A 22,785-nucleotide genomic window follows, 5' to 3' on the forward strand; every position below is an offset into this window, starting at 1 on the left:
GCACTTTGGGAGGCCGAGGCGGGTGGATCACCTGAGGTCAGGAGTTTGAGACCAGCTCGGCCAATATGGTGAAACCCCATCTCTACTAAAAATACAAAAATTAGCTGGGCGTGGTGGTGGGCACCTGTAATCCCAGCTTCTCAGGAGGCTGAGACAGGACAATCGCTTGAACCCGGGAGGCAGGGGTTGTAGTGAACCGAGATTGCGCCACTGCACTCCAGTCTGGGCAACAGAGTGAGACTGTTTAAAAAAAAAAAAAAAAGCTGTGAAAATTTATTGTCTCAGAGGAAGGGGTAGGCTTCAAGCTGGGTTTGAGTGCTTCCATCATGTGTCAGCTTCATCCTCAGGCTGGCTTCCTCATGGTAGCAAAGTGGCTGCAGTAACTATTGGACTCACATCTACCCATCACACTAGCCAGAGTAAGAAAAAGAGCACTTTTCATTTCCCAACAAACACAAGATATGGCCTTCCATGTGACTGGCACCAATTTAGACTCATGTCAGTGCCTATCAGTGAATACTGACAGGTCAAGTGAGAATGGGATTAGGCTGATTATCACAATCACTGTCCACACCTGGAGCGGGAGATGGGCCTAATCAGATCCTTGGCTGTCTTGCAATTGCAGAGGGGTGGAAATATATTCTGGGGAATCAATCAATATAATGCTCACTATAAAATCAATATGATATTCTGTACCATTAGATACCAGTTTAAACTCTTACATTATTGTTCAATGTTTAACTTGTTTCTAATTTTTTTTTTCTTTTTTGTGGAGACAGGGTATTGTTATGTTGCCCAGGCTAATCTTGAACTTCTGGGCTCAAGCAATTCTGCCTTGGCCTCTCAAAGTGCTGGGATTACAGGCATGAACCACTGCACCTGGTCTGTTTCCAATTTTTGATATTACATTTTAAACTAGGAGTTGCAGACATAAATGAGAGAAACAACACTGTAAGATACAATAGAGAATGTAGAGACTTTGGCAAAAGAGAGAATGCATGTCCTGCAGCTGATCGTTATCATGTAATAATGTAAGCTCACTGTTACCAAATCTTCCACTTTTTAAAGAGAAGCCCAAAATGCATGTATAATCTTCTGGTTTTTAACTTTGGATATGTGTTTTTTTAAGCACCATGTATGCCAAACAAAACATGTTTGTGGGTTTGATTTGTACCTGGGGCACCAGTTTGTCATGTTATGAATCATGCTGGAGTATTTTATAACACCATCTCTCAAAGTGAGAGTTTCAGTCCTTTCATGGACCAGGGCTGCTAGGATACGCTTAATGCAAATGAAGCCACAGTGGAAAGAGAAGTGAGCAGCACATACCACATGAAGAATGCTTTGTTATTAATTTTTTATTCCTTTTAGTTTCTCGACTAAAAGCCTGAAGATCTGTTAATAATTTTTTGGCATGTGCTTAGAATTGTTTTTCTGGTGGTAAGGATGAGTTTGCATCAGATCACCTTAATTGTCTTTTATCTAGGTTCTCTCATGACTTGTCTCTTATCTATGTTGTACTGTGAGGAAAAGTTCAGTTTTAAAGAATGACCCCTGTTGATGAGAGGTGTTACATGTGGCCATGGGACAGGATTTTTCTTTTCCTTATAGCAAGTTGGCACATGAAGATAGCATGCTCCACTTAAATAGAAGAATTAACTCGCAGTGGCCAGTGGTGTCCACTATTGCTTTCAAAGACATATGGAACTGAATTTGGGGAACACTAAACTTGTTTTGGACTTGCCATTTTTTTTTTAAATTCTTTTTTAGCTAAGTTACCTATTGAATGCCCATAATTACCACATCCATTGTCCTTTTTTGTCAAAAAGCTTCACTCCAGTTAGAAGATACCTGAAGGCAGAAACTGCGGCTTTGTCAACTGTTGATTTCCTCATGGCGCGCAGTGTAAATTTACTAGTACTTTATTTAGTAGAGGCTTAGTACTTACTGGTTGGCAGATTTATTAATAGTTCCTGTACATCTCAGGAAATCAACAGATGATTTATGTTATTCTAACCCTAACTTTATTAAATATAATAAAAACTTTCAGCATTTATTGTCAGGCCCAGGGCTAGGTAGGCTCCTGAGATACAGAAGTTAATAAGGGAAGCAGCCCAGAAGGTAGGGGAAACAAAAAAATAGTTACAACACTCTTGATATGTCTCAGCATCTATAGACATTAACATCAGGAAAAGCGGGGGTGTGGGGGGAAGGAATTTGTCAGGGAGGGCCCTTTGGACAAATGTCACGTTTCTCAGAGTAGCTTTTAAATATGGGTGGGAAAATGAGGGCAGGGGAATTGAAGTGGGATAGAAGGGAGATATTTAAACTAAAGTCATTCTATGGCTGCAATCACTGGACACTATATTCACTTATCCATGCAATCACATTCATTGAGTGCTTCCTATGAGTTAGGCAGGGTGCACAGTGTAAGATACAAATGAATGATACAGGTTCACAGCGGTTGTCTAGTGGGATAAAATGCTGCACAGGGCAACCTGGATAAGCCTGACATGTTAGGTGCCACAAAACTACAGAACAAAGTGCTAAGGAGATTCGGAAAATTTACAGGTCATTTCTGGTTGCAGGATCTAGAAGAAGGATGTCCACAATTCAAGGATCAGTACAATCTTCGTAGCGAAAAAGCGTTGGTTTATTCTACCTCTACCTAGTTTGTACCTCAACATCTTTTACCCCAAAGGATAAAAAGGTGCAAATGAGGGCACATTTTCTTCATATAATACGTAATGGTGCTTACTTATTGCTTTCCTGTTCATTCCCCGCAGGTGATTTCCCTCTTCAGTCTCCCCCGAGTCTCACAGAAGGAACTAACAAGGGAGCGCTTCACAAGCACACAGACACCTTCAAACAGGCGCAGAAGAGTACTTGGTGAAAAAGTATTCTTTCAGGTGACTTTCCTTAAGATTACTGAGCATTAAGAATGAAAATATGTAAACCAGGTTTACGAGCAAGAAAATAATCTCTCCACATTCAGAGTTAATCTTCCGAACTCAGCAACTGCCAGTAGAACGCACCCCGGTCAGGGCGGGCTCGCGGGCGCGGTCCCACCCCCAGGCCCCTCCGCCGCGGAGGTTCTCCAGCGCCGCCCGTACTCCCGCCTTTCGCGCGTCCCTGCTCTAACAGCTCTGGTTCTGTCAGGACCTCACTCCTCCGCTCCCGGCGCAACCGCGGCCACGCAGCGACGTGCACGCGCGTGTGCGCCGCCGCCGCCCGGCAGAGTGGGCGCCTCCGACATCAGGAGCGCGCACGCCGCGCAGAGGGGCCTGGACGAGCGCGCTTCCGACCCGCCGCCACCGCCTCCTCCCCTCCTTCTCGGCCCGCCCCCTCCCTCGCCTCTTCCTGCCAGGCGGCCCTTCTCCCCTCCCCTCTCAGTTCCCTCCGCCCTCCTCGGGCTCCAGCGGTGGCGGAGCGAACGGGACCGGCCCGGCTTCAGAGCGCGAGGTGGAGGGTGGAACGCGGGCGCCTGAAGGAGTTGTTGTCTCGGCAGCGCCCGCGGAGACGTGAAGAGGTGAGGCGAGGACGGCCTCCTAGGGACACGAGGGCGGCCCGGCGGCCCGGATCCGCGGGCCGAGGCTGCCTGGGTGTGTTGGCGTCGGGCTGAGCCTGGGGAGGGTCGAGATGGGGCCCCAGCCGAGGACTGGGATGCGGGAGGACCGCGGTAAGGAGGGTAGGGGGCGGGTTCAGGACTGTCGGCCGCCTCCCGGACACCGCAGTTCTCCCAGGTGGCCGCTCCTCGCGGATAGGGCGGGCGGGGTCGGCGCCCTTACCTGGGGGTGGGGTAGTGGCTTTGGCGGCCGCCTCCTCCAGCTGTGCCCTCCTGACATTGCTGCCTCGGCGGCTGCCGCCCGCTGCTACGCTGTGGCTGCTGCTGGATTCGCAGTCCCAGCCGCCCTGCGTCCGGTGGGCGAGTGGTTAGGGTATTTTCTTACCCACACGCAGGCTTCTGTACTCGACCATTTCTCTCCCTCGCCCTTCCTCTTCCTCCGCCGAGCACTTTGCTCGGCTCCTGCTGTTGATGCTTGTGGTTTTGCAGTTTGGGATGGGATGCGTTCCGGGCAGATCCCTACCTGTAGGGAATGCCCCGCTTCAAAGTTGACCTCCTGAGCCATGACAAACACCTCCCCCCAACCCCCACCCACCTTGTGAGTGCTCAGTGTCCTGATAACTGAGTCAAAGTTTCTGAGACTGGGCTAGTACTTTGCACTGGTCGCCAACGGTACAGGGCTGGGCAGTGCGTCAGCATGTGGAAAGGGGCCACCGGCTAGCGGGAGGTGGCCGGGTGCATGGGAGCTGAACTGACGGGTTTCAGATACTAGGCAGTGTGTCCAGGTCCTTGGATCTCTCAGATAGGGTTATATTAGAATATGTACCAAAACTTGGGTGGTCACTTGCAAAATTGGTTTCATGCAAGTAAACTGAAATGCCAGCCTTATTACACTAATGGTAAGGAGAACTTTTGCTTGCCTGACAGATTTCAGCGCAGTTTGGAAAATGATTTTAAGGCCTTTATTTTTGGCACTGGAGGGGTTTAGGGATTTTTAATACATTTAAATTTCCTCGTGCATAGTGGGAGGTAAGTAGTTGCTTGTTAAAATTCTGAAAACACAGTTTCATGAAAACCTTCTGACTTTTCTTACAGTAGTGTTTATATTTGGCATCTTCCGTAGAATATCCATTAGTTATGATGTCAGAAGATACGGATGTGAAGTTTGCTTTTTGTGATCACATTGGAAGTGGATTTTGTTCATGGAAAATACTGGTTCACAAGCTCCTAGTACTAGAAAACTGGCCTGTGATTCATTTTCTCAGTAGAGCGTCCCTTATGAAATTGACAATGAGATTTCTAAGGAGAAAGACTAGTTGAACTTTATGTATACATTATCATCAAATTGTATTAAATGTACACCTGCCTGAGGGGTTAGCTCTAGACTTTGAGTTAGACTGGTGTCTATACTAAATCAGTTCAATAAATGCGCTGATATTATGTATTATTCATTTGGAGAGAAGTAGATAAAGCAGGGCAGAGTTTATATTTTAACATATTATGTAGCCTACATTTGCTCTGATGTGTATTATTATTATTATTATTATTATTATTATTATTATTTTTGAGACGAAGTTTCGCTCTTGATGCCCAGGCTGGAGTGCAACAGCGCGATCTCGGCTCACCACAACCTCCGCCTCCCGGGTTCAAGCGATTCTCCTGCCTCAGCTTTTTGTGTAGCTGGGACTACAGGCATGCGCCGCCACGCCTGGCTAATTTTGTATTTTTAGTACAGACTGGGTTTCTCCATGTTGGTCAGGCTGGTGGAACTGCTGACCTCAGGTGATCTGCCCGCCTCAGCCTCCCAAAGTGCTGGGATTACAGGCGTTAGCCACAGCGCCCGGCCTCTGATGTGTACTAGTAAGTCATATGGGGAGAAGTAGATGAAATAGGGTAGAGCTTATATGTGAACATATTATATAACCTACATTGTCCTCTAGAAAGCTGGAAACAAGTTAGTAAGTCTCAGTACTATTGGGGCATATGGTGAATATACAAACCAACCTAAAAAAGTGTGACTGTAAATAGATGAAGTTTGTTTGTTTCTTTTAAAGAGACAAGGTCTCGCTCTGGCGCCCAGGCTGGAGTGCAGTGGCTCAGTCCTAGCTCACTGCAGCCACGAAGTTCTGGTCTCAAGAGATCCTCCCACCTCAGCCTCCTGAGTAGCTGGGACCACAGGCACATGCCACCAAACCTGGCTAATTTTTTGTTTTATTTTTGTAGAGTCAAGGGTCTCACCATGTTGCTCAGGCTAGTCTCCAACTCCTGGCCTCAGGCAGTCCTTGCGCCTCAGCCTCTCGAAGTGCTGGGATTACAGGCCTGAGCCAACGGTGCTTGTCCCATTTTTTTTTTTTTTCACCTGAGTTATTTGATGGGAATTTCTATATATTACAGTTGCGATGTTCTGAGAATTTTTGTTTCTTTGATAATTGTTTCATGATTTAGATGTTTTCTTTTTACGCTGGTAGTTATGATTTTTTTTTCCTTTGAATGAAAGAATTTTATTAGGCATGTGAAACAGGAGTTTTCATGTGATCAGCTCTCCAGTTCTAAATTTGTGACTTTTAAAAAACTTGAATTTTTTTCTTTGCCTTAACCCAAACTTGAATTTGCTCAGCCATTGTATATTTATTTGAACTCTCAGATGATACAGCATTGAAGCAGAAAGTCCTTTTATCCATGCTTTTGGAGTAATCAAAAGAAGGAATTCTGTTGTGCCAAGTAAAAATATGTGTGGGAGATAGCTAGGCTTCAAGAGATTGACTTTGAAGAGAGTAGTGGCTAAGTAGCAAAAATTTCCTATATTGAAGGTGTAGAAGTGGGCCTGCATTCCAACCTACCATTGTCTTCAAGTGGGGTATGGATCATTATGACTGGTTAGAGGGGGTTTGGAGAATGAAGTTGTTGCTGTAAGCCTATGGGATTCCCAGGCACAGAGCTTGCTTATGTCTTAATTTTAATGAGTTCTATATTTTTATAACTCTTGACTTATATAAATGGGTCAGCCGTTGAGTCTGAGGATGACCAGCAGCCCAAGGCTATTCCAGGTGCTGGTATTTCTTTTTTTTTTTTTTTCTCTTTCTGTTTTTTTTTTTTTTTTTTTTTTTTTTAATTATACTTTAAGTTTTAGGGTACATGTGCACATTGTGCAGGTTAGTTACATATGTATACATGTGCCATGCTGGGAATTGAACAATGAGATCACATGGACACAGGAAGGGGAATATCACACTCTGGGGACTGTGGTGGGGAGGGGGGAGGGGGGAGGGATAGCATTGGGAGATATACCTAATGCTAGATGATGAGTTAGTGGGTGCAGCGCACCAGGTGCTGGTATTTCAAAGATGGCTCAGGGGTTTCTTGTGGAGATGATCTGATGAGCATTTTGCCATTACAAACAGTGGAGGCGGAGAAAGTACGGACTTGAGCCTGAGTTATGGTAAAACATACTCATTTTTAAAGGAGAGTTTTAATGCTGATATTATAGAGAAAGACATTGTTTGACTCCTAGACTTTCAGAACGGGAAATAATTTTGACTTTATAGTCAGTATTTGAATTGGGTATAAGTATGTGAACATCAGTGGACCCTAATAAGGAAGAGTTAATGAATTAAGAAGAGCTTGCATCTCTGAACATCTTCTTTTTATACTTCGTTTACTTCCCATATTGCTCTTATTCAACAGATGGGATGGCATAATTGGGTATACGAAGTTTATGCGCATGCTAACTCTTTTTTGTTATCTTTTGGTGTTTTTTGGTGTACTTTTTGGGGATTTTCCTGGGAAAGTTCTAGGCATATATTCAGTTGATTTAGAGTTAGATTTGGGCTAAGATTATTAGTATACTTGAAATTCTGAGCCTTCTTATTTTCTAAATAGCTTTTAAAGTAGAAAACATTTGCCAGTGCTGTTGGGCTTAAAAAAAAAAAAAACCCAACAACAACACAATTCTTTATAAATACTCATGAAAAATCTGGTTACAGGCTGTGTTGTGATAGACATAGTACAGCCAAAAATATATTTAAGAAAATTCTCACCCAGTTTAGTAAGCTTAAATAAGAGGAAAATAAGACAGTTTTTTTTTTTAATAAAAGGCTGATTTTCCCAGAATATGAAGCCTAACAACTGTTTGCTGTGTTATTTTCCCTGTTGCCTGTTCTAAATTCAGCAAGAACTATGCATCCCTAGTCCATGGTAAAAGCTTAGTTCCAGTAGGTGATTCTTAGTAATGGAAGTCTCATTGAGGGATGCAAGGGAATTTGATTGGGAAACATCAGGCATGGAACATTTACTTTTTACTGCTCTAATTTTCTGTGTATCTGGGTATTCAGTGGGGTGGGAACATGAGCACAAATACTAGAATTATCTGGATTTTTTTTTTATACTATGGATTTCCTCCTCTTACCCCCTACCTGCCCCCCAACCCATTGCTAAGTGAGCCATTGATAGTAGGAGTGTGTTATATCCTTCAGGTATGTAGGGCTGAACAAATGCTAAAAACCTTGGCACTTGGCTGATATTCCATAAACCAAATTCCTGCTCTGTGTAATTTGCCTTCTGGTGATATCAGTTTGTTACTCCCATTTTTGAAGAAAAATATGAATTGTGGTGAAGAGACATCTGTAACCAAGAGTAAGATTTATCAAATTATGTAGTATACATGAAGGACACCAGGAGATTGTTTACCTGAACATTTATTAAACTCATTTGACTGTGACCCACAATAAAAAATACATTTTACTACTTGATTCCGCAAGCGCACACACACACAAAGTTGAAAGTTTGGTGAAATAATATTTATCTTTTCAGGGCCCTACTGAGTTAGCTATAATGGCTTGCAAGACCAGTTGTGCATATTTCTTCCTATCTAGCTCTTTGTCCAGTGACATCATGTTGGTAGCTCAAAATTGGTCATGGTGGGAATATTTACACCAGGAAATTCAGCAAATGGTATTCTTAGGGCTTCCCTCCTCATAGGTAGTTGTTAAACATTTATAGCACCCCACTGCTTATAACACACATTGATATATTCTGTTATTTCATTTCATTTTAAAAATGCTGGGTTTTGACTTCCAAATTAATTTTACACCCAGCTAATGGATTATAGCCTACATTTAACAACAAATACAACTAGTTTAGCCTACCCTCTTAACTTTGTAAGTGAAGGAACATACTAAGAGCCTCAAGGCCAAGGTCAGATAGTGAGTTATTAGCAAAGCCAGGGCTCTGGACTCAATCTGGAGTTGTTTCTGGTGGGCTTCTTTCCTAACCTCACTTAGTGTGTATAAGGGATTGTGTTAATCAGTTTGAATAAAGATGGACCTTGACCCTGAGGACTTTATGCTTAGGTGGGGGATTAAATATGGAAACAACAGTGATAATGAAAGGCAGAAAGTAATGGGTGGTAAAAAGATAAAGATAAGGAACTATAAGAGTTTAGAGAGGAGGGAGAGATTACTTTTATTTTTGTTTGTTTGTTTGTTTTTCGTTTTTGACCCAGGCTGGAGTACAGTGGTACAATCTCGGCTCACTGCAACCTCTGCCTCCCAGGTTCAAGTGATTCTCCTGCGTCAGCCTCCCTGAGTAGCTGGGATTACAGGCGCCAACTGCCACACCAGGCTAATTTTTGTATTTTTAGTACAGACGGGGTTTCGCCATGTTGGCCCGGCTGGTTTTGAACTTCTGACCTCAGGTGATCCATCCGCCTCAGCCTCCCAAAGTGCTGGGATTACAGGCGTGAGCCACCGTGCCCGGTCTACTTTTAGTTTTAAGGATAAAAGAAGAGGTGACATTTGAACTACTTTTTTTTTTTTTTTTAATTTGGAGACAGCATCTCACTCCCGTTACTCAAACTGAGTGCTGTGGTGCCATCACAGCTCACTGCATCCTTGATTTCCTGGCCTCTAACAGTTCTTCTGCCTCAGCCCCCAAGTGGCTGGGACTATATAGGCACACACCAACATGCTTGGCTAATTTTTCATTACTTGTAGAGACGGGGTCTCATTATGTTGCCCAGGCTGTTCTTGAACTTCTGGACTGAAACTGTCCTCCTGCCTCGGCCTCCCAAAGTGCTGGGATTACAGTTGTGAGCCACCACGCCCGGCCCCTGAACTATGCTTTGAAGAATGGGTAGGATTTGGACATGTGGAAATAGGACAACTAGTATGAGAGAAAGGCCTTTCTGGGCCAGGGGCCAGGGTGATCAAAGGCATACAAGCATAGACAGGGAAAAATGAGTAGTGAAAGAGCTAGGCAAGAAAGAGTCCGTTAGCACCAGATGGTTAAGAGCCTAGAATGCCAGTTTTCCTTTCTGCTTTTCAGTTTATCTTTCATTTTTGACTCTGGAGTAATCTAGTACTTCTTAACATTGAACAGGATTTATATGTTATGATTAAAATATGATCCAGAGAGCACATAAGTATCCTTAGAGTAGAAGCTGAAGGGAAAAATTATTAGTGTTAGAGAAGCAACCTTGAGTTTACCAATCCTAAAAGTGTTGGAAAGTGAAAAATATTTTATTTGTAAGGAGAGACAGTGTTTTTTTTTTGTTTGTTTTTTGTTTTTCTTCATTAGCGTCAAATTGGCTGTAGTAGAACAGGAAGCAGTTTTGAAAGTCTTTACAAGGGCCTTCTAAAATGTGATTTCTAAATGACTGGATCTTAATTTTTGGAGGCAGGTTTAGTTCAGGCAGAAGGGTAGTTTATACAGATCTGCAGCTAAGCTGAGTAGCTTTTAGAATTTAGGGCAGCAAAGCAGGGTATTTTATACAAAATCCACTTGTAAGGAATTGATGGCTTCTTTATTCCAAGAATTTTCTTAGATTTCAGCATTTATGTCTTTGACAGCCTGTATGACTGAAGATGTTTTGAAGTCTTGGATGGAACTTGCCTTGTTTCACAGGGGAATTGGGTAGCTAGAAATGAAGGTATAAATGCCAGTAAGTTGTGTCTGTTAATCAAGTTGAAGTACTGGTGGCAGTTCTCAAGCTTTTCTGTCTGCTGATGATTTCACACTTACTGCTTCTAATTAAATAGTGTGTAGTCGATTTGAAGAAGCCTTGCTTCTCTTTGACCCACCAGTTCTGTAAAGGTAAAAGCCTTCTTAGAGTGTTGCCCAGGTAACAACACATACAGAGACTGCTTAATAGCTCATCATGGAAGTGTGTGGAAAATTTTGGAAATGTTGGTAAAGAAGTTGCTATAGTAAATAACTACTTGGTTGGTAAAAAGCTGGGCTACTTCTGGATAGTTGATAAAGAGTTTTTGAGATGAGCCGTGGTTCTAAAATAAATATGAATTGTGTCATTGCCACACGATTTTCTTCAGTTATGTAAGCTCCTAATATGTAAATGTTGTCCTACCATTTTAGAAGGTGTCAGCAGTTTCATGTGACCTGTTCCACAATATAGCACACCCCAAACACCACGATAAGAGTTCAAATATGGCATGGCCCAGATGCCTCACACCAGTTAAATGATAAAGCTAATCATGTCAGCACAGTGTTTCTGTTAAAGTTTTTTCCCCCTCTTTTTTGAGGCATGTTAGTTTTCACGAATTGAGGTTATTAGAATCTTTCCAGATTTTCTGCCACCATTTTTTTTGTGTGTGTGGTAAAAAGTATAATGATGGTGCCCTTAATTAAATTATGTAAACATTTGTAAAGATATACACGCATACACATAGTGTGCATATATGTATGTGTAGACATACATACATATATATTTACATATCATTAGTTCTTGGAATTTGTGGTGAAAATACACCCACCTGGCAAATGGTTGAAAACAAGTGTTCTAGCTCTTTGAAGACTACCATGTGAGTATTCACAAATATGAAAGTAATGCAAACCCAAAGGGAGTTTTTGTATGCCCAATTTCAAGAAAGGAGCACATTTTAAAAGGCAAGTATGGAATTCATTCATATACCAGTGAGGAATTTCTCAACTTCTCCTTTACCCCACACATACACCCGTTTACCATTCTCATTATTAGCAGTAAGCAAAATTAGAAGACTTTAAGAATCAGACTTCTACTACAAGTGATGCAAATAAATATTATTTTTAGAAAAAATACAAACCTGTGGTTTTGAGTTATGAAGGTTTAAGAGACACATATCACTAGTTTTTTTTATAAACTACATGGAGTGTTTTCTGTGCTTCAAGATGTCGTAATTGTCATTGTGAGGCCTTTTGCTGAGAGCATTGTATAAAGGAATAGTTGTTAGAATGGTTATTAGGTGTTTCTTTGAATAGTTTATTTTTCTGTAGTCAATTTATCTTGCATACATTGATGGCCGGGGGTGGTGGCCCACACCTGTAATCCCAGCACTTTAGGAGGCCAAGGCAGGCAGATCACTTGAGGCTAGGAGTTTGAGCCTAGCCTGGCCAAGATGGTGAAACCCCACCTCTGCTAAAAATACAAAAATTAGCCGAATGTGGTGGTGTGTGCCTGTAGTCCCAGCTACTTGGGAGGCTGAGGCACAAGAATCCCTTGAACCTGGGAGATGGAGGTTGCAGTGAGCCAAGATCGTGCCACTGCACTCCAGCCTGAGCTACAGAGTGAGACTCGGTCTCAAAAAAAAAAAAAAAAAAAAAAAAAATTGAATAGAGTATACTACTTTAGTGAAAAATTGACCATTGAAAAATCAACCATTGAAGGGAGGTTATATATATATTGGCAGACAGTAGGGTTTCTGAAGTTGTTTTAGAATAATTTTGTTATTGAGCAGCTGTTTTATCACCAGACCTCATTCATTTATTATTGCTTTTTTCCATTTTTTTTTAAATCTCATGAACTGTATTCTTTCATTTTAAATCTCTCATATTTGCCCTGAAGTCAGTGGTCATATTTGGACTAATGTTTTGATTTGCTGTTGTCTGCGCAAAGATCTATTACCAAGTTGCATGATCAAGTTGGTATTGAATGGTAATTCAGTTAATGTCTTCTTCTCTCCATTCCTTTTTTCCTTCTGTATTCTAGAAGTTACCTTAACACTAGTGTGAGATTCCTGGCAAAGTTAATGGGGAAATGAAATTAAATATTACTGTTATTCAAATCCTAGGGTGACCTTTTTGCCAACACTAATGAACATAGAAAATTTTTCAGCATGAATTATGCAGCTTAAATTTTCACTGAGGCTAGGCCTCTTAAGTTTAAAAAATTAAAAGTTAAAAAAATATTTATGGGGTACAAGTGCAGATTTCTTACATGTATAGATTCTTACATGTATAGATGTGGTGAAGTCTGGGCTTTTAGTATACCCATCACCTGAATATCCACCATTCTGTATGTCCATGTGTACCCATTGTTTAGCTGTCACATATAAGTGAGAACATGCGGCATTTGACTTTCTGTTTCTGAGTTATTTTACATATGATAATGTAGGCCTCTTAAGTTAAAAAACATTCTGACATGCATTTTATAGTTCTTGTCAACATTATCAATAGCTTTGATAGATGAAACAGGTTTCTCCTGTTGCAGTTGGTATCACACACAATAAATTAGCCATCCCTACCATTTGAAAATATAAAGGTGTTTTTTTTTTTTGACACGGAGTCTTGCTCTGTCGCCCAGGCTGGAGTGCAGTGGCATGATCTTGGCTCACTGCAGCCTCTGACCTCTGCCTCCCAGGTTCAAGCAATTCTCCTGCCTCAGCCTCCTGAGTAGCTGGGACCACAGGCACGTGCCATCATGTCTGGTTAATTGTTGTATTTTTAGTAGTATTTTCACTATGTTGGCCAGGCTGGTCTCAAACTCCTGAACTCGTGATCTGCCAGCCTTGGCCTCCCAAAGTGCTGGGATTACAGGCGTGAGTGACTGTGCCTGGCCCAGATAAAGTTTTTTTAAAAGATAATCTAGTAATAGTAGGAAAGAGAAACCAGTTTATCAGTTAATCTAATACTTCCTATTTTGAATATAAATTTCATTGTGTTGCATGGTAACTTCATTATGTTCCACTGAGTATTTACTTTTCTAAAGACAGACCTTTAACAATTTTTCCTTTTTTTCATGTTTTGGAGACAGGGTATCTCTCTGTTGCCCAGGCTGGAGTGCAGTGGCACGGTCATAGCTCATTGCAGCCTCAAACTTCTGGTCTCAAAGCGATTCTCCAACCTTCGTCTCAGGAGTAGCTGGTGGGACTATAGGACTGTACCCACCACACTCTGCTAATTTTTTAAATGGGAGTCTCCCTATGTTGCCCAGGCAGGTCTCAGACTCCTGGGTTTAAGCAATCCTCCTGCCTCAGCCCTTCCAAGCATTGGAATTACAGATGTGAGCCACTAAACCCTGCACAATTTTTCAACTTTTGGGAATTTCACTTAGAGGAGGATAATAGTAGCTTTTAGACATTTTTATCAGTTATCCAAGGGTGGAAAAAAATACTTAAAATGCAAGTAACTACAAACATTTTTGGTTTTGTGGGAGACAGTGTAGATAGAACATAGAACCTTAATTCTTGATCTAGTGCTGCTGTGAAATTCAGAGAGAATAAGTAATTTAGACACAACTTCTTTCTCCTCTTTGCACATTAACCATGAGCTAATATTGAGTGTTTACATGGGGTAGTTATTACATAAGAAAATGTACATTATCTCGCTAATCTTCACAGTAACCATATGAGGTAGGAACGATTATAATATCATCTCCAGTTTGCAGGTGAGGAAGCAGGATTAGAGAACTTCAGTAACTTACCTAAGATCACATAGCCAGGCGCCGTGGCTCATGCCTGTAATCCCAGCACTTTGGAAGTCCGAGGCGGGCAGATCACGAGGTCAGGAGATTGAGACCATCCTGGCCACATGGTGAAACCCCATCTCTACTAAAAATACAAAAATTAACCAGGCGTGGTGGCATGTGCCTGTAATCCCAGCTGCTCGGGAGGCTGAGGTAGGAGAATCGCTTGAACCAGGGAGGCTGAGGTTGCAGTGAGCCGAGATTGCGCCACTGCACTCCAGCCTGGACAGAGTGAGACGCTGTTTCAAAAAAAAAAAAAAAAAAAAAAATCACGTAGCTTGTGAGAGGCAGTTATCTCTTGCTTCTAAATCTGTCTCACAGTGACTCTCTACTACTACTCTGTATTGACAATCTTTAAATGGGATGGTACTTGTTTTGCACATTTCATAGGATAGTTATGAGAATCAAAAAAGATAAGATGTACAAAAGAACACACAGATGTCTCTGGTGTATTCATTTTATTGGATAATATTTGAGACACCAAAGAAATCTTTGAAATCTTGTACACATATTTGTTTGTAATCAGTAATGCTATAAAATAAGTTGAACAGATGAATATTTGAAAAGTTATCTATAAAGACATATTTTGTGTGGGTTCAAGGGATCTGTGAGTGAAAGGTAGAGGAATGCAGAAATGTAGGGATGTATTATAAAAAGTGGATCAGATGATCTCTAGCAGCCTGAATTCTTTCTGCAATGAGGAGTATATGTAAATAACAGGTGACCTATAAGATCCTTCCAACATCAATAATCTATGAGTCTTTGTTATGGGTTACTTATTTTCTGTTAGAATATCCTCAAATTAGCGAGATATGCCCAAAAGAGCTTTTTAATTTTATTTTAGCTTAGATCATCAATAATCACCATTCTTTCTTTGTCCATTTCTAAAATTGTTTATATTTAAGGTATACAGCATGTTTTGCTATACATATACAAAACATATACAGATACAAAATCATGAAATGATTTTTATGTTTTGATACACAGATACAAAATCATGAAATGATTACTACAGTTAAGCAAATTAACCTATCCATCTCCTTCTATAATTTTTAAAATTGTGGTATAAGCATCTAAAATCTGTCTTAGCAAATTTTATATATACTATACAATATGAATAATTATAGACTTCGCGCTATACATTAGCTCTCTAGACTTATTCATCCTACATAACTGCGAGTTTGTACCCTTTGACCTACTTATTCCCATTTCGTCCCCCTCCTTTCCCCTGGTAACTGTGGCTATACTCTTGTTTCTGCGTATTCAGCTTTAAAAAAAAAAAAAAAAAAGGATTTCGCTGGGTGTGGTGGCTCACGCCTGTAATCCCAGCACTTTGGGAGGCCGAGGCAGGCAGATCACGAGGTCAGGAGTTCGAGACCAGCCTGACCAAAATGGTGAAAACCCGTCTCTACTAAAAATACAAAAATTAGCCAGGCATGGTGGCATGTGCCTGTAATCCCAGCTATTTAGGAGGCTGAGGCAGCAGAATCGTTTTAACCCGGGAGGCGGAGGTTGCAGTGAGCTGAGATTACACCACTGCACTCCAGCCTGGGCGACAGAGTGAGACTCCATCTAAATAAATAAATAAATAAAAAGTAAAAAAAAGGATTTCATATATAAATGAGATCATGTAGTGTCTTTCTTTTTGTGTCTGGCTTATTTCATTTAACATAGTGTCCTCCAGGTTCATCTATGTTGTTTCAAATGACAGTATCTCCTTTTTTTTTTTTTAAGGCTGAATAATATTCCCTTGTGTGTGTGTGTGTGTGTGTGTGTGTGTGTGTGTGTGTGTATATATGCCACAAATTCTTTATCTGTTCATCTTAGGACAGACACTTAGGTTGTTTCCATAATCTAGGCTATTGTGAATAATGCTGCAATGAATATGTGAAAGCATATATCTCTATGAGGTGCTGATTTCAGTTTCTTTGGGTGTATACCCAGCAGAGGGATTGCTGGATCATAGGCAGTTCTATTTTTAATGTTTTGAGGAACTTCTATACCATTTTCCGTAATGTCTGTGTAGCAATTTACATTTTCAACAACAGTGTACAAGGGTTTCCTTTTCTCCACACTTTGGCCAACACTTTTGTCTTTTTGATAATAGCCATCCAAACAGGTGTGAGGTGATAGCTCATTGTGGTTTCGATTTGCTTTTCCCTGATAATTAGTGATGTTTTCAGTGCTTTTTCATATACCTGTTGGCCCTTTGTATGTCTTCTTTGGAAAAATGTCTCTTTAGGTTCTTTGCCCATTTTTTAATTGGGTTATTTCGTTTTGTTTTGTTTTTTGCTGTTGAGTTGTGAGAGTTCCTTATGTATTTTGGATATTAACCCTTTACCAGATACATAGTTTGCAAATATTTTCTCCCAGTCCATAGGCTGCCTTTTCATTTTGTTGTTTGTTTTGGAGAAGCTTTTTAGTTTGATGTAGTCCTACTTATTTATTTTTGCTTTTGTTGTTTGAGCTTTTGGTGTAGTATCCACCAATATCATTGCCAAGGCCGAACAATATCAGGGAGCTTTTCCCTTGTGTTTTCTTCTAGGGGTTTTAAGGTTTTATTATAGATATTAGTGTTTACTTCTTTAAGCTATTTTAGCAAACATTCTTTAAATGTCAGTTGCACTTAGATTGAATATAAATATATAATTATCTGAGTAAGATGCAGCTATGGTGTTTTGCTTTTTCCCCTCCAAGTTAAAAAGATTTTTTTTTTTTTTTTAAGATGGAGTCTCACTCTTGTTGCCCAGGCTGGAGTGCAATGGCATGGTCTCGGTTCACCGTAACCTCTGCCTCCCAGGTTCCAGTGATTCTCCTGCCTCAGCCTCCCGAGTAGCTGGGATTACAGGCGTGCACCACCATGCCCGGCTAGTTTTGTATTTTTAGTAGAGATGGCGTTTCTCCATGTTGGTCAGGCTGGTCTCAAACTCCCAACCTCAGGTAATCTGCCCACCTCAGCCTCCCAAAGTGCTGGGATTACAGGCGTGAGCCACAGCACCCGGCTGTTAAAAAGATTTTTTAGAGGATGGGGTGGGTGAAGTGGCTTACTATTACATTATTACATACTTGGTTCTTAATGCATTTCTTATGACTTCCTCTCAAATTTGGATTTCCTGAGTGTGCATTTTGAGAAGAAACTTAATATCATTATATATATGAAAGGTCATTTTAATTTTATGTAGTAAGTTTATGGCTTTTTATACAGTTGGTTTCATTCTCTGTCGTTTTTTTTTCAACAAGTATTTATTTATAAGGTAGAATATGGGTTTTGTGCTGGAGAAGCAGAGATGAGAGATTGTTGAAGAGCTGACAGTCTTATTGGGGAAACAGATGAATAGAGAGTGGCAAGGAAGGGGCACCACAAGGTGTGTCTTCAGAAGGATATGTAAACTGATCTGGGTTTCAAGTAAGGCTGTCTGGAATATCTGAGTTGAGTTTATAGAAAGCAAGAGGGATATTTTAGATATAGGTATGAAACTTTGAAATAGTAAGTCTTTACCTATCTAGACTCAGTGGCAGTACCTCATCTCTCTGAAACATTACAAAAGCCCCCAAATAGTTGTCAGTTTAATAAGAAATTCTTTATAAATAAAGCTCTTTAGGCTGTCGCTGAGAGCTTATTTTTACTTTATATATGATACTTAAGGTTTCTAAGGTTGTAGTAGATTAAGGAGGAATAATTTACAAGCAGCAAGATGCTGCAATAAACATACTGATAACAAGACAGATTTCTGACAACATGATAGCAATGAAGAAATTGGAAAAAAAATACACACACACACACACACACACACACACACACACACACAACTGAATAAGTCATAGATAATACAAGGAAAACATCCTTGGACAACTAAATTAGCTTTAAGGGTATCAAATGTATTTGTAATACTATAGAATAATAATGAAAGTTTGCTGTGCTCTCTGTTACCAAGAAGACATGAAATATATGTCCTGTATAGTATATATATTAGTTAGGATTCTTCAGAGAAACAGAACCAATAGGATAGCTATGTGTAGATACAGATCTGTTGGAATTGGCTTACACAATTATGGAGGCTGAGAAATCCCGTGATAGGCCGTCTGCAAACTAGGGAACTAGGGAAACCAGTAGCTCATTTCAAGTCCAAAGGCCTGAGAACCAGCAGAGCCAACATTGTATTAGGTTGGTGCAAAAGTGATTGAGGTTTTTGCAAAATAACTCTCAATTCGAGGCTGAAGGCTGAAAAACTAGGGGGCTGCTGATGCAAGTCCTGGAGTCCAAAGGCTGGAGAACCTGAAGTTCTGAGGTCAGAGGGCAAGAAAGACAAATGTCTGAGCTCCAGAACAGAGAGTGAGTGAATTTGCCCTTCCTCTGCCTTTTTGTTTTATCTTATCCCCCAGCAGATTGGATGGTGCCTGCCCACACTGGGTAAGGGTAGATCGTTCTTACTCAGTCTATTGATTCAAATGGCAGTCTCTTTGGGAAACACCCTCATAGGCAAATGCGGAAATAATGCTTTTACTAGCTATCTGGGTATCCCCTAGTTTAGTCAAGTTGACAACTAAAACTAGCTATCACAGTAAATTTATGAAGGTGTCAAAGTATTTATATTACTAAGATTTTTAAAATATGAAATAGGATGAAAACCAGGGGGTAAACTTAGTACAGTTATCAAATTGTTTTTTTCAGCATGATTGATTTCTAAAAGGCTTTGAATAACCATAGATTTAATTTTCTTGTATATGACACAGACCAGTAGATTATGGAATGCTAGACATTGTTCAGTACAATATTATATAACTGTAGTTAGAAATTACTTAGATACCAGAGTTATGGTTCTTAACCACTTGGGTACCAAGAATTTTTAGAGAGCATGAACCATGTCGTCTTTTTGTTCTGGATGGCATGAAGTTGGGGTCTGAGCATAGATATCATCTTAAAAAGCCTTTCTTGAGACTGTGGTCTCTGTTAGAAATCTCTCATTTGTGCTTTTAAAGCATTCAGTTTTCCTCTTTGTTGTCATACTAATCACATTGTATTGCAACTTGCCTGTTTCTGCATTAGACTACAGGCTTTCTTTTTTCTTTTTTTTTTTTTTTGAGACAGAGTCTTGCTATCTTGGCTCACTGTAACCTCTGCCTGCTGGGCTCAAGCAGTTCTCCTACCTCAACCTCCTGAATAGGGACTACAGGCACGTGCCACCACGCCCGGCTACTTTTTTTTTTTTTTTTTTTTGAGACGGAGTCTTGCTCAGTTGCCCAGGCTGGAGTGCAATGGTGCGATCTCAGCTTACTGCAACCTCTGCCTCCCAGGATCAAGCGATTCTCCTGCCTCAGCCTCCTGAGTAGCTGGGATTACAGGCACCCACCATCATGCCTGGCTACATTTTGTATTTTTGTAGAAATGGAGTTTCACCATGTTGGCCAGGCTGGTCTTGAACGCCTGACCTCAGGTGATCTGCCCTCCTTGGCCTCTCAGAGTGCTGGGATTAGAGACATGAGCCACCGTGCCCAGCCAGTATTACTTAATTCTTATAATAGTCCTGTATTACTAACAGTTTAGCGAGAAGACAGCATTGTTTTAGATTTTGCAAACCTGTGTAATGTCTGGCTTTGTAGAAGACAGACAAATTCTCATATTTGTCACTGCATTCACCCTATTGCAGTATGCTTTTTGGGTTGAAATATCCAAAGAAAAGCTGGCCTCATATGTAGCTTGTAAAGGGAGGAGTATTTTAATAGTCTTTTAAGGTAATGTTGATATTTTTCTTTCATATCACACCAGAATTCTACAGTTGGTAGTTTTATATTAATGGTTAGTTGCCATGTAAAATCTTACATCACATTAATGAACTTTTTGTAACCTGTTACATTTAAAATCCACTGGTCTGTCTTGCAGTTTGAATGGATCTTTTATCTATGTGTAATTTTATAACTCGTCATTTGTAAGGCATTGGTTCACTGATTTATGCAGATCTTTATAATATTGGCACATCTTATTATACAATATAAAGAAGTCAAGCTGGGCATGGTGGCTCACGCCTGTAATCCTAGCACTTTGGGAGGCCGAGGCGGGCGGATCGCTGGAGCTTAGGAGTTCAAGATTAGCCTGGGCAACATGGTGAAACGCTGTCTCTACCAAAAATACAAAAAACTTAGCCAGGCATGGTGGCACATGCCTGTAGTCCCAACTACTTGGGAGGCTAAGATGGGAGGATCACTTGAGCCTAGGAGGCGGAGGTTGCAGTGAGCTGACATGGCACCACTGTACTCCAGCATGGACAACAGAGGGAGACCCTTTTTCAGAAAAAAAAAAAAAAAAAAAAAAAAAAAAAAAAAGGTCAACATTTGTTAATACTGCCATCAGTGTCATCAGAAAAGTCTTCTAAGGGCTGGGCATGGTGGCTCACGTGTGTAATCCCAGCACTTTGAGAGGCTAAGTCAGGCAGATCATTTGAGTCAGAAGTTTGGGACCAGTCTGACCAACATGGTGAAACCTTTACTGAAAATACAAAAAAATTAGCTGGGCATGGTGGTGGGCGCCTGTAATCCCAGCTACTCGGGAGGCTGAAGAAGGACAATTGCTTGAACCCAGGAGGTCAAGGTTGCAGTGAACTGAGATAACACCACTGGACTCCAGCCTGGGCGACAGAGTGAGACCCTCTCTCAAAACAAAACAAAACAAAACCAACAGTGTAAAACGTTCCTGTTTCTCCACAGCCTTGCCAGCATCTGTTGGTTCCTGACTTTTTAATAATTACCATTCTAACTGGCGTGAGATGGTATCTCATTTTGGTTTTGATTTGCGTTTCTCTAATGACCAGTGATGATGAGCTTTTTTTCTTATGTTTGTTGGCCGCATAAATGTCTTCTTTTGAGAAGTGTCTGTTCATATCCTTCGCCTACTTTTGATGGGATTGTTTGTTTTTTTCTTGTAAATTTGTTTAAGTTTCTTGTAGATTCTGGATATTAGACCATAGTTAGATGGGTAGATTGCAAAAATTTTCTCCCGTTCTGTAGGTTGCCTATTCACTCTGATGATAGTTTCTTTTGCTGTGCAGAAGCTCTTTAGCTTAATTAGATCCCATTTGTCAATTTTGGGTTTTATTAAAATTGCTTTTGGCGTTTTAGTCATGAAGTCTTTGCCCATGCCTATGTCCTGAATGGCATTGCCTAGGTTTTTTCCTAGGGTTATTATGATTTTGGGTTTTACATTTAAGTCTTTAATCCATCTTTAGTTAATTTTTGTATAAGGTGTAAGGAAGGGGTCCAGTTTCAGTTTTCTGCATATGGCTAGCCAGTTTTCCCAACGCCATTTATTAAGTAGGGAATTCTTTCCCCATTGCTTGTTTTTGTCAGGTTTGTCAAAGATCAGCTGGTTGTAGATGTGTGGTGTTATTTCCGAGGTCTCTATTCTGTTCCATTGGTCTGTATATCTGTTTTGGTAGCAGTACCATGCTGTTTTGGTTACTGTAGCCTTGTAGTATAGTTTGAAGGCAGGTAGCATGATGCCTCCAGCTTTGTTCTTTTTGCTTAAGGTTGTCTTGGCTATATGGATTGTTTTTTGGTTCCATATGAAATTTAAAGTAGTTTTTTCTAATTCTGCAAAGAAAGTCAATGGTAGCTTGATGGGAATAGCATTGAATCTATAAATTACTTTGGGCATATGGCCATTTTCACGACATTGATTCTTCCTATCCGTGAGTATGGACTGTTTTTCCATTTGTTTGTGTCCTCCCTTATTTCCTTGAGCAGTGGTTTGTAGTTCTCCTTGAAGAGGTCCTTCATGTCCCTTATAAGTTGTATTCCTAGTTATTTTATTCTCTTTGTAGCAATTGTGAATGGCCTGATTTGGCTCTCTGCTTGTCTGTTGGTGTATAGGAATGCTTGTGATTTTTGCACATTGATTTTGTATCCTGAGACTTTGCCGAAGTTGCTTATCAGCTTAAGGAGTTTTTGGGCTGAGATGGGTGGTGGCAGTATAAATTAGTTCAGCCATTGTGGAAGACAGTGTGTCAATTCCTGAAGGATAAAGAACCAGCAATACCATTTGACCCAGCAATCTCATTACTGGGTATATACCCAAAGGATTATAAATCATTCTGCCATAAAGACAGATGCACACGTATGTTTATTGCAGCACTATTTACAATAGCAAAGACTTGGAATGAACCCAGGTGCCCATCAGTGATAGACTGGATAAAGAAAATGTGGCACATATACACCATGGAATACTATGCAGCCATAAAAAAGAATGAGTTCATGCCCTTGGCAGGGACATGGATGAAGCTGGAAGCCATCATTCTCAACAAACTAACAAAGGAACAGAAAACCAAACACCGAATGTTCTCACTCATAAGTGGGAGTTGAACAGTAAGAACACATGGACCCAGGCAGGGGAACATCACATACTGGGGCCTATTGGGGGTTGGGAGGCAAGGGAAGGGAGAGCATTAGGAAAAACAGGTAATGCATGCAGGGCTTAAAACCTAGGTGACGGGTTGAT

At 40.8% G+C, this 22,785-nt stretch overlaps 1 protein-coding gene and 1 long non-coding RNA gene across 13 annotated transcripts in view, besides 2 other annotated features; one reads left to right on the forward strand and one right to left on the reverse strand.

The window, feature by feature from the left end:
* RABGAP1L-DT (RABGAP1L divergent transcript) overlaps nt 1-3,159 on the reverse strand; it is a 37,650-nt gene extending 34,491 nt beyond the window's left edge. The window contains exons 1-2 of the long non-coding RNA NR_121197.1: nt 3,036-3,159; nt 2,759-2,862 (exon numbers count right to left, since the gene is read on the reverse strand). This is a non-coding gene — a long non-coding RNA (RABGAP1L divergent transcript). The remainder of the gene's footprint in view (nt 1-2,758; nt 2,863-3,035) is intronic.
* Nucleotides 3,098-3,497: a silencer, noted in NCBI's record as "silent region_1561". NCBI's record gives its function as "represses an Ori minimal core promoter by ATAC-STARR-seq in GM12878 lymphoblastoid cells {active_cell/tissue: GM12878}" and the evidence as "EXISTENCE:reporter gene assay evidence [ECO:0000049][PMID:35858748]".
* RABGAP1L (RAB GTPase activating protein 1 like) overlaps nt 3,392-22,785 on the forward strand; it is an 835,789-nt gene continuing 816,395 nt past the window's right edge. For all 12 annotated transcript variants that reach the window (NR_158982.1, NR_158981.1, XM_011510223.3 and 9 more), the window contains exon 1: nt 3,392-3,529. The gene's annotated coding sequence lies outside the window, so the exon portion shown is untranslated. The remainder of the gene's footprint in view (nt 3,530-22,785) is intronic.
* Nucleotides 3,618-3,797: a silencer, noted in NCBI's record as "silent region_1562". NCBI's record gives its function as "represses an Ori minimal core promoter by ATAC-STARR-seq in GM12878 lymphoblastoid cells {active_cell/tissue: GM12878}" and the evidence as "EXISTENCE:reporter gene assay evidence [ECO:0000049][PMID:35858748]".

Source organism: Homo sapiens, chromosome 1 (genome assembly GCF_000001405.40).
Source record: "Homo sapiens chromosome 1, GRCh38.p14 Primary Assembly".
Lineage (NCBI taxonomy): Eukaryota > Metazoa > Chordata > Mammalia > Primates > Hominidae > Homo > Homo sapiens.